Source organism: Homo sapiens, chromosome 22, assembly GCF_000001405.40.
Source record: "Homo sapiens chromosome 22, GRCh38.p14 Primary Assembly".
Lineage (NCBI taxonomy): Eukaryota > Metazoa > Chordata > Mammalia > Primates > Hominidae > Homo > Homo sapiens.
In genome coordinates, this window is record NC_000022.11 from 45,848,788 (window position 1) to 45,861,395 (window position 12,608).

The following is a 12,608-nucleotide window of genomic DNA, read 5'->3' on the forward strand; positions in this document are numbered from 1 at the left end:
GAAAAGGTGCCAGCTGTGCAAAGAATCAGAGAGAAGTGTTCTGGAAGAGGGAGCAGCAAGTGCAGAGGCCCCAAAATTGGAAAAGCTTCACCTGTTCAGGGACCAGGTGGGTGGCCAGTGGGCCCAGTGCCTGGTGGCCAGGGGAGAACATCATAAGACCAAGTCAGAGGGGTCAGCAGGAATCAGATCATGCAGGGTCTTCAAGGCCATGGGAGGAATTTGAATTTTGCTTGAAGTACACTGGGAAGCTATTGAGCCATTTTTAGCAGAGGAATGCCAAGATTCTGCTTGCACTTTTAAATGACTACTCTTGCTGCAGTGTGGAAAATGGAGAGGAGAAAGAATGAAAGTAGAGAAATTGCGTATGGGGCTGTTGATGACAGTGATCTAGACAAGCATGGTGGCAGTGGAAATGGAGAGAGAGACTTGAGTTGGAACTGTGTGTCTGAGGGAGGATCCGTAGGACAAGCTGAGGGTGGAGTGCATGAAGTCCACAAGAGTAGCTCCTGAGATCTGTCGAACAGCTGGGTGGATGATTGTCCATTCACTGGGGTGGAAAAGTTGAATGTGAAGATTGGTTCTTGTGTATGTTTTATTTGTGGCAAAGAGAATCCAGAATTCTATTTTGGGCAAATGAAGTTTGAGATGCTTTTGAGACATCCAAGTGGTGATGATTTTAAAAAGTAATTGGACCTATAAACTAGGGCTCAGAAGACAGATCAGTATTGGAAATAGATATTTGGAATGATTGGTTTTATGTATAGATGATATGAAGCCATGGAAATCAATGAGATTATCTAGGGTGAGGTTGTAGAAAGACTAGTGAAGCAGGCCTGCTGTCAACGTGTGGCCCACAGTCTAAACTTGCTCTCAACATTAGAGCATGAGGCTCCTCAGTATGCTAGAGACCCCTCAAAAAAATTGTAATGGCTTTATCACAAAAATGTACCATAATGGACTTGAGCATTCCCTTCTTTTTTAAATATATTTATGTATTGGTGGGGAGGGGGTCTTGCTCTATCACACAGGCTGAAATTCAATGCCACAACCATGGTTCCCTGCAGCCTTGAACTCCTGGGCTCAATTGATCCTCCCACTTCAGCCTCCTGAGTAGCTGGGTCTACAGGTGTGAGCCAGTGCACCCGGCTACCATTCCCTTCTTGTTAGACATTTTATTTTCTGCTTCTTATCATTAGAAATGCTGCAGTCAACATCTTAGGGCTTAAAGCCTTATCTTTGTTTTAGGTTGCATACTGTGGGAGGTCAAGGAAGGAAGATAAGGGGTTAGAGAAGATTTGTCTCAGAGAAGTAATCATATTAGAAAAGAAAAGGCACTTCCCAACTAGGTAGTTCTGACCAAACCCCTCTGAAGGCAACTGAAACACAGGTCAGAATAGTTTCAGCTACTGTTTAAAGGTACCTGGGAGCTAGCAAGACACAGCAAGGAATTACAGGGCCAGGGTCTGGGAGTGAAAAGAGGCCCAGGAAGATAAGTGTATTTGGGTTGCTGTTTCCTCTGAAAGTATTTTTCACTTCAGAGGAGGAGGCAGAGTGGCTAAGAGGCCAAAGAGTGCTTATGAGAGTCCTGGGAGCCAAGGTGGTGGGATGCTGTCCCGGTGAACCTCCATTGCTACAGGCAGGGGACCCAGTGGGCTGAATCAGAAGAGTCGCAGTGAACCGGAAGTAGTTCCTCCCAGAGACCACACTCAGTTTCCAACCATTTGCACCCCAGAAACTGAACTAAAGTTCCCCTTGTGTGCTATGACGTGTGATGTCAGTGATGCACTACATCCTGGAGTGCTGCTCACTCAGGCGTCTAGCAACAGAAATCTCAGGAAAACGGCTCTACCCTTGGTCTTGCATTATTTGTATAGTTTTTCATACGTTGTCTCAATCAAAAATAGGAGGTGACGAGACAACACGATATGAAAGTCAAAAGAAGCGATAACAAATAGAAACAAACTTAGAGGGGCTCCTGATAGTGGAGTCTTCAGGCAGGAATTTCAAATAACTTTATTCGATGTGTTTAAAGAGACAAAGGACAATATTGGAAACGTCAGCAAAAGAAGGGACACACTGTGACAGGGGGACCAAATGAAAATTCTTGAACTGGAAAAATATAACTAAAATTAAGAAATCAATGGATGAGTTTAGCCACAAAAAAGATAAATAGCAAATGGAAGGAAAATAGCTCAGTCGAAAACATCCAGAAGGGATCGCTGAGAGACCAAATGATGAAAAATATAGATGATAGAGTAAAAGACATATAGGATACAGTGAAAGGTTAAGTTCTGATATCCCTATTTAGGGTCTAAGAAGAGAGGAAAAAATGGGTGCTTTAGTTTTTAGTAATAATACCCAAAAGTCACCACCAAACCTTGGGGTTTGAATATTACCAAGAAAGCAGAGTATTGAGAGAAAATTCACACGAGCATCACTTAGCCTAGAGAGGTGATTCTTTTCGTTCCTTCAATAAGCCAAGCAGTAATTGTGAGCAAGCAGAAGACAGGGCCACCATTTCCCGAGGTTGGTCAGTCTTTTCTCTCTCTCTTTTTGCCTTAGTCTCACTTGCACGTTTCTTGCCCCAGCCAGCGTGTCTAGTGACCACCACTTAGAAACTTCTCATCCCAGTCTGCATAAGGGGCTGGAGTCAATATGTGGTTGGCACGTAGTGCTCTCAGCCAGCTCGTTGCACTCTAAAGAGACTCAGGTGGTCAGCACTCACTCAATCCTCCACGTGCTCTGACAGGCTGGGCTTTGACTGGGTATCTGGGCACTTAGTGTGCTTCTTTTCCTATAAGCTCACAATTGCATTGTTCTGACTGGTTACGCCCACACTAACCTCCTCCGTTACATCATGGGTTAAGGGAGTTATTTACAGCTTACGAGTATAGCAGGGATTTATGTCTTTGGGTAAAGTAACTATGTTTTATCTCAACACACACAACTTCTCACAAACAACATATGCTTATCCCAACAGGGCACACATTTACGATTTTGGCAGGTTTTTGAGTAGTAACATGATTTTCACCTCTTCTAAAAAAATTCTGTAGTGCATTTGAAGGGAAACACGATTACAAGCAAAAGGACATTTTGGTGGGTGTTATGGGCTGAATTGTGTACCCCCAAAATTCATATAATAAAGTCCTAACCTCAGAATGTGACCATATTTGGAGCCAAGGTTTTTAAAGAACTAAGTTAAAATAAAGTCATTAGGGTGGACCCTAATCCAGTATAACTGCTGTTCTTTTACAAAAAGAGGAAGTTTGGACACAGATACAGAGGGAAGACCACGAGAAGACACAGGGAGAAGACAATAATCTATAAGCCGGGGAGTGAGGCCTCAGAAGAGAGAATAAATTTCTGTTGTTTAAGCTGCTCAGTGTGTGGTACTTTGTATGGCAGCCCTGGCAAACTAATAAATGGTAGGAACCTTGTTTGCCAGTTTGTTTGAAACACAGCAAATATACCTAATGTCCTTTGTAATGGAGGATAAGGCACGCGCCACAAAGATTTGTTTCGCACATCACAATGGGGCAGAAGCACTTTTGGAGAGATGCTAGCTAAGAATCTTCCAAGACTGAGACAGACATCAAGCCACAGATTCAAGAATCCTAGTGAACCCCAAGAAGGATAAATCATAGAAAACAACACATTGTAAAACCACTGAAAATTTGTCACTGAGTGACAAATATTTAATCTGTAAAGCAGCTTGGAAAATGGGGGCAGCAACTTCTGAGATGACTCCTATGATTCTACCTGATGCCTTCTGTGATCGTCTCCTCTTGAGCATGGGCTGGACCTACTAAATTGCCTCTAATAGAATATGGTAAGAGTAATGGATGTCACTTGCATGATTAGATTTTTAAAAACTGGAACTTCCATCTTATTGGCACTCTTGCCCTCTCACTTGCTCACTCTAATGAAGTGAACTGCCATGTTGTGAGATGCTCACGTGGCAAGGAATTGAGGGAGGCCTCCAGCCACCATCTTATAAGGAACAGCCACCTGAGTGGTCCAGGAGGCCAGACCCTGCCCAGCCAGCCCTTCAGATGACCACATCCTTATGCAAGACCCAGAGCTGGAGAAACCAGCTAAGCTGCATCTGTTTTCTTGCTTCACGGGAACTGACAGATGTTCTTATTGTAGGCCCTTGAGTTTTGGGATAATTTGTTATACAGCAGTAGTTAATTTACACAAGAAATAACACAGATTACCTTCAGAGGAGTAAATATTGGACTGACAGCTGACTTACCAACAGAAATATGTAAGCCAGAAGGAAATAGAATGCTATCTTTGAAGGGTTGAAAGTAAATAATTGCCAACCTAGAATTCTATATCCCTGCCCTGCCCCCTCGCAAAAAGAAAAATGAAAAGGGAATAAAGATACTTTAGATAAACTCTAGTGAATCATTGCCAGCAGACTTTCACTAACAGAAATACTAACGGGTATTCTTGAGACAGGAAAAAAATGTCAGGGAAGATGTAGTTTCGGAAAAGAATAGAGAGCAAGATAAGGGTGATTATATCAGTATGGAGCATAGCCTTAAAGTATATTAAGCAAAAGCTGACAGAACTAAGAGGAAAAGTAGAGAAATCCACAATCACAGTGGAAATTTTTAATAAATTTCTCCTAGTACTAGAATAAGCAGACAAAAATAATATCTAAGGATATTAAGTATTTGAACAATGCAGTTAGGGTTAGCCTTAGTAGACATATTGAACCCTGAACCCAATAACTTTGAAAGCATGGAAAAGCCAACCTCATGCATTAACATAAATCCAAAGACCCTAAACATGATATTAACAAACTATATATTTTAGGGATGTAAGATTGGTACAACATTTTTTAAAAGCTGGGCACAGTGGTACATGCCTATAGTATCAGCTACTCCGGAGGCTATGGTGGGAGGATCACTTGAGCCCAGGAGTAAAAGACCAGCCTGGGCAAAATAGTGAGATCATGTCTTTAAAAATTAAATTTAAAAATTAAAAGAAAGGCCGGGCGCGGTGGCTCACGCCTGTAATCCCAGCACTTTGGGAGGCTGAGGCGGGTGGATCATGAGGTCAGGAGATCGAGACCATCCTGGCTAACAAGGTGAAACCCCGTCTCTACTAAAAATACAAAAAATTAGCCGGGCGCGGTGGCGGGCGCCTGTAGTCCCAGCTACTCGGGAGGCTGAGGCAGGAGAATGGCGTGAACCCGGGAAGCGGAGCTTGCAGTGAGCCGAGATTGTGCCACTGCAGTCCGCAGTCCGGCCTGGGCGACAGAGCGAGAGTCCGTCTCAAAAAAAAAAAAAAAAAAAAATGTTAAGTCAATTAGAAAACCACCATATTAATAAAATCATTATCAACTAGTACAGGGAAAAAAGTATAATAAAATTCAGCATTCAATTGTGATAGTAAAAATAAACAGCAAATTTGGAGTAGAAGAGAACTTTCTTATTCTGAAGAATACCTACAAAAACCCCTATAGCAAACATTGGACTGGTTGAAGAAATGTTGAAGATTTTCTTTTTGCTATTAAGAACAAGGCAAAAGTCAATCACAATTCACTGCTTACATTTATCCTTATGTTGGAAAGGTGAAATAGCCCATGAAATACAGGGGGGAAAAGGGAGGTGGAGGGGTAATCAAGGGGAAAGAACTAAGACAGTAGGATTGTTTATATAGCTAATGCAAAAAAAAGTCTGCATAAGTTGTTAGAATGAATAAATGAATACAGCAAGGTTGCTGGATACAAGTTTAATATACAAAGGTTCATTGAATTTCTACATACTAGCAACAGAGAGTTGGGAAATAAATTTTTTAAATAAATTCTAAAGTGTATAACGAAATGCAATGACAACAAAACCAAGAATAGCCAAGATATTCTGAATGAAGAACCAAGTGGAGAAGTTGCTCTAGTAAATATCAAAACTATTAAAAGCAAGCTTAGTAAAAGAATATTGTTACTAGCACCCAGGTAGATAAGTAGATCACAGAATAGTGTCCAGAAACAGACACATATGTGGGCACAATATGTTTTAAAAGGTAGCACTGCAGAGCATGGGGTGGCGGGCAAAGGGGAAGGTGGTCGTTTCAACAAATCACGCTGGGACCACTGAATATTGGGGGCTTGGAGCAAGGATAAGTGACCCTTCCCTTATACCATATAAAAATATCAACTCCTAGATGGATTGTAGATCTGACAAAATGCTAAATGACATTCAGCAAAATGCTAAAACTTAAAGAAAATAGAGTCTCATGACTATATAGGGTAAAATTTTTTAAGTATGTTACAAAAGCCCCTAAAATGGACTTCATAAAAAAATTACAAGAAACACCATTAAGAGAGTGATTTCTCCAGAGAAGTCAATAGGAATATATGTAAAATAAGGAACTGGCTCACAAACCGTGTAGACCGAAGTCCCACAATATGCTGTCTGCAAACTGAGGACCAGGAAAGCAGTGGTGTAAATTCCAGTTTGGGTACAAAGGCAGAGAACCAGGAGAGCCAGTGGTGTAAGTCCCAGTCCACGGGCAGAAGACCAATGTTTCAGTTCAAGCAGCAGGCAGAGACAGCATTTAACATTCCTCTGCCTTGTTCTTTTCAGGCCCTCAGCAGATGGGATGATGCCCACCTACCCTGGGGTGGACTGTCTGTGTTATTCCGTCCAGATGCCAAACTGTTCTGGAAACACCCTCACCGAGACACCCAGAAATAATGTGTAACCAGATATCTGGGCATCCTATGGTCCAGTCACGTTGACACGTAAAATTAACCATCACAAGTCCACCCTTTGTCAGCTTGGCACCTATACCTGTCTCCGTAAACCACACTTCTCCAAATGAAGACAATAACAAAGTCATAATTCTGCCTAAATGATACACATATCCCAAGTACAACTGAAAATGCACTAACCCCTTCACCCGAAGAGGAAGTAGAGTCCTTAAGTGTTTATTCGTCTCCTTGATATCCTATGACTTAAATACTGTGATGTAAAATTAACAATACTTAAAATACTATACTGTAAAGTCAGTACACCTCATGTTGCATGGTAAAGGAATAATCTAGGAAAGAAAATGAAGATACTTGCTATGCTTTATAGATATACACCCACAAACATATTCATCATTAGATTGGTCATGTGGTTGTAGCTGGTATTTATAACTACCTTCTGCTACTGCATTGCATGTAGGGAAGGCAATTGTACCCAGAGTGTCTGTTTCAGTAAAGACAAAATGCTATTCCTTCTGTGATGGGAGCAGTCCTTGTCATCTGCCTGCTACCAGGTAGCTGGTCAATCATCCTGGGGAGTGGTGCCATATTGGGGCTCAATGTTGGTCTCTACTCCTGGCCGACTGGATGCCCGGTGGTATTCAGGCAGCCTTGGTGGGTGGAATTCCATGTTGCTGAGCCCATGCATAGCCTTCATCACTGCCACCATGGCCACTTTGTTCATGAGCCCATTGGACAGTGACAGGAGTGGCTGGGAAAACAGGCTGCCTGTCATTCCCACAATGGGCTATTCTCTCCACCAGATTTTTTTAAATCCTGCTTTGCTGAGGTCATCTTTTGGTGGGCATTCTCATGGAAAAACGTCTTCACATTTATTTTCCCACTCAGGTCTCCCTACATACCTCTTCCTAAGACATCCTTGTCACCAGCTTTTCAGTCATGCTCCTTCCAAGTCCCTGGCCACCCAGCCAGACCTTTGGCCACAGCTCATGAATTGGTAGATAATCACATATCTGGTCATCTCTCCTTCAAGGCACAGCGCACAACCAGGTGCATTGCTTGAAGTTCTGCCCACTGGGAAGATTTCCCTTCACCAGTCTCCTTCAGGGGTGTCCTAGAACGGGGCTGTCATGCTACAGCTGTCCCACTTCAGGTGGTGCCTGCGAATCATGCAGAACCATCTGAGAACCAGGCCCAAGTCCTCTCTTCTGACAGCTGGTCACAGGGAACTCTCTGAAGCCGTCATGCAGGCTTCAACACTTCTCTCTCTGGGAGAGAGAGGGCAAGGTAGCAGGAGTGGGGACCATGGGCATTTGGGCCACTTCTTCGTGTAATTTGTGCCTTCAGGGTTTGCTCAGACCCAGTCACATACACACCACTTCCAGTTGATGATGGAGCGCTGCTGTGCACGCCCAACCTTGTGGCTTGGTGGGTCAGATAACACCCAGGTCATGATGGGCAGCTCAGGTCACATGGTGACTTGATGGCCCCTGGTTAAGTGTTCTTCTGTCTGTGCTAAGGCCCGGCAGTAGGCCAAGGGCTGTTTCTCGAAAGGAGAGCAGGCATCTGTGGAAGGTGGTGGAGCCCTGCTCCCAAATCCCAAGAGCCTGTGCTGTGATTTACCTGTGGGGCCTGCCACAGGCTCCATGCAGCGTCCCTGTCTGCCACTGACACCTCAGCACCACTGGATCTGCTGGGTCTTATGGCCCGAGTGGCAGAGAGCCTGCTGTAGAGCCTCCTCCTGCTCTGGGCCCCACTCAGAGCCAGCAGCTTTTTTGGTTACTTGGTAAAAGGGCTAATACCCTCAGATGAGGACTATGTTGTCTCCAAAATCCAAAGAGGTCCACTAGGCATTGTGCCTCCTTTTTGGTTATAGGAGGGCCTGATTTCACAATTTATCCTTCACTTTAGAAGTGCTATCTTGACATGCCCCCACACAACTGGACCACTAGAAATCTCATTGAGGTAGAAGTCCCCTGAATTTTAGTTGGATTTCCTTCGCACCCCCTGACACACAAATGTCTGACTAGTAGGTCTACTGCTTTGCTACTTCCTGCTCACTAGGTTCAGTCAGCATCATGTCATCAGTGTGGATTCGTGTGATACCTGGTGGAAGGGAAAGGCAACCCGGATCCTTGTGAACTAAATTATGATGTAGATGGGAGGGTTGCTGTGTCCCTGAGGTAGGGCTGTGAGAGTGTATCATTGACCTTGCCAAGTGAAAGCACACCGCTCGCTCCCAGTGGTCTTCACTAATAGATGTCAGACAAGAACACTTGCTAGATGAGTAGCTGCCTGAAGGAGATGTGTTAATTTGCTCAAGCAGTGAAACCCTTTCTGGTAAAGCAGCTGCAATAGGAGTCACCGCCTGCTTGAGTTTATGATAATCCACTGTCATTTTCTAAGACCCATCTAGTCTCTGCACAGGCAAATAGGTAAGTTGAATCAATGAGGGTTTGGTGGGAGTCACCACCCGTGCCTCCTTCGGATCCTTTAATGGTGGCACTCATCTCGGCAGTCCCTCCAGAAATGCAGTATTCCTTTCAGTTTACTGTTTTCCCAGGTAGAGGCAATTCTAGTGGCCTCCACTTGGCCTTTTCCACCGTAATAGCCCTCATTCCACAGGTCAAGAAACCAGTATGGGGATTCTGCCAGCTGCTGGGTCAAACTATTCCAATTTTGCATCTGGAATTGGGAAGATAACCACAGGATGGGTTCAGGGACCTGCTGGGCCCACTGTGAGATGCACCTGACCTAAAATTCCATTGATCACCTGACCTCCATAAGCCCTGACTCTGACTAGTGGACCATGGTGACATTTTGGGTCTCCTGGAATCAGGGTCAGTTCAGAGCCAGTGTCCAGCAGGGTCCACAAAAGGTCTGATTATTTCCTTTTCCTCAGTGCACAGTTACACTGGTAAAAAGCCCTGGGAGAATTTTTTTTTTTTTTTTTGAGGCCAGGTTTTGCTCTGTTGCCCAGGTGGCATCATCTCAGCTCACTGCAACCTCCACCTCCCAGGCTCAAGCTATCCTCCCACCTTAGCCTCCTGAGTAGCTGGGATTCCAGACATGAGTCATTGTGCCCAGCCGAGAAATACTAATTGTATAAAATGTTGGTAGGGTGCTGGGGTCCTTCCTCAAGGGGACCCGGCCTTCCTTTCACTCTAGGGGTGCTGGGTCTGTCAACTGGCTCAGGTGTAGAAATTGAGGGGCATGGCCCTTGTTTTTATGATTCAGGTTAGACCTTTGTTCACTTGACCTAGAACGTTTCTGTTTATGCACGTATCCAGGAAGAATTGAGTAGCTTCTCTATCTATTGCCCTTGTAGGAACACCATGATCAACTAGCCCATGTCACAGCTCTGTGTGAGTCAGACCCCCTCACTGTCTGGGGTCTGCTGTCCGTTACAGTGGCTGTGCCTGCCCTGCCTTTGGTGGGTGAGGGCTGCTACTTGGCCCCTGGCACCCTGGCATTCAGTGGCACCCACTGCATTTACATTTCCCAGCTCAGTGGCCACAGTTCCCACTGCGAGTCTGACCTGCAGAGAAGAGCAATCACAGAGCTCTTCAAGGAGCCCGGGCCCCTCAAAACCGTGCTGCTCAGTCGGGGAGACAGATGTGTCTTCCAGACCCTCCCACGGTGAGCAAGTGGATCTTCAATGACAAATCCACTCTTGCATTCCAGTCTCCCTGCACCTTTGAATCTCCTTTGATTCTCTCTGGGCTCCTACCGACCACCTCACTCTGCAGGTGCCCCAGCAGGACAGCGGCCGTTTGCTCAGCATCTTCTAAGAGCAAGGCACCTTATAGAAAGCACTGGATGGAATCCGCCCCTCAATTCGGGTTTGCTGGAGAAGATGTAGACCTTGGTGCTCAGAGACGCTGAATCGCTGGGCTCACCCAGGCGGGTGCGGAGCCCCAGTCTGCCCCTTCCACTCGGCCAGGCTGCCTCCCGCCTCTGCCCTGCAGTGCCAGCTTTGTGTTGCCCAATTCATCTGCAGCCACTAGAGGTATCTTCCTTGAGAATCTCCTGTTGGAGGCTCCCGCTGCCCTCAGGACATGGCCCAGACTCCTTAGAGAGGCACATGAGGTGCGTCCCGAGCCCTCCTCCAGCCCTCCCTCTCTGGCAGGTGACCATGCAGCAGCCGCAAAGCACTTGGCGGTCTCTTCTGGCTCGAGGCTGACGCCCACGCGAGCCCCCACCTAGAACCTCCCCAACCTGTGTCCACCGGGTGTGCCCCCAGAAATCTTCTCCAGGAAGACTTCCTGAACAGCCCTCTGCTCCTGTGACGGCTCTGGGCCCTTTCACATTTGCCTCCCTGCATTGCACTGAGCTAACCCAGGGCTGGGGCGAAAGCGCTTATTGATTCAACCTTCAGCAAACACTGAGCACTAACTATGCACTTGTATTAGTCAGCTCAGGCTGCCGTCACAAAATACCACTGACTGGTGACTAGGCAATAGAAATGAATTTTCTCACAGTCTGGGTGCTGGAAGTCCCAGGTCCAGGTGTCGACAGGGCTGGTTTCTTCCGGGGCCTGTCTCCTTGGCTTGCGACCTCCTCACTTGGTTGTCCTTCTGTGCCCCTGGGGTCTCCTTGTGTGTCCACATCCCCTTTTCTTACAAGGACACCAGTCAGGTTGGGTTAGGGTCCACCCTAATGCCCCATTTTAATTTAATGACCTCTGTAAAGGTCCTGTCTGCAAATGTAGTCACATTCTGAGGTCCTGTAACGCATGAATTGTAGGGGGTGGGTGGGGGACACCATTCAGCCCACGACAGTAGTAAACATGCCCAGGCGTCATAGGACAGGCCCAGTCCCTACTCTCACCGGAGCTAGCCCGGTGGGGTGCAGACTTTGAACGTGCAGTTCACGTGGGGCCCAGGTGAGCCAGTGCCAGGCCTGAGTCGCTTCCCTGGTGACCAGCTGCAGCCTCCTGTCCATCCTGCGCCCTCCTCCTTTCCATCCTCCCTGCTGAGACTTGCCTGCACGTGAGGCCCGCCCGCGTCAGTGCCCCTTTGTGAGATTCGCCCATGCCAGTGCTCCCGCATGAGAAGGTACGCGCACATCACCCCTGCATTCTCACGGGACATAGGGTGTGATGGTTCATTTTATGTGTCAACTTGACCAGGCCATAGGGTGCCCAGATATTTGTTCAGGTATTATTTTGGGCTCATGAGGGTGTCTCTAGATGAGATTAACATTTGAATTGAATTTGAATTGGTAGACCCCATAAAGCAGAGGGCCCTCCCCAACGGGGGCGGGCCCCATCCAATACATTGAAGGCCTGAACATCACTAAAGGCAGACCATCCCTCCAGCAAACCAGAATCGAGGTCAGGATTCCATCCGGTGGTTTCCAGAGGGTACCTTGCTCTTAGAAGATGCTGAGCAGGGAGGGGGGAGGAATAGCATCGGGAGATATACCTAATGCTAGATGACGAGTTAGTGGGTGCAGCGCAGCAGCATGGCACATGTATACATATGTAACTAACCAGCACAATGTGCACATGTACCCTAAAACTTAAAGTATAATAAAAAAAAATAAAAAAAACAAGACCATTTCATAATATTGTTTAAAACAAAACAAAACAAACAAAAAAAAGAAGATGCTGAGCAAATGGCAGCCGCCGTGCTGGGGCTCCTGCAGAGTGGGGTGGGGGGCGGGGTGGAGTGCACAGAGAATCCTGCTGCAGCAGAGGATGGCAGAGCCCCACCTGCTTCCATTGGCAGGATCTGTGTGGGTCCTTATTCTGGGCTTTTATTCACATTGTTCTCCCCCACCAAAAACCTGCTCTTTCTTTAAAGCCCGGCCACAGTGCCCTCCCCCTGTCAGGAAACCTTCCAAGGACTTGGGTCCGCCTCGATCTGCACCTTCCACTAACCCC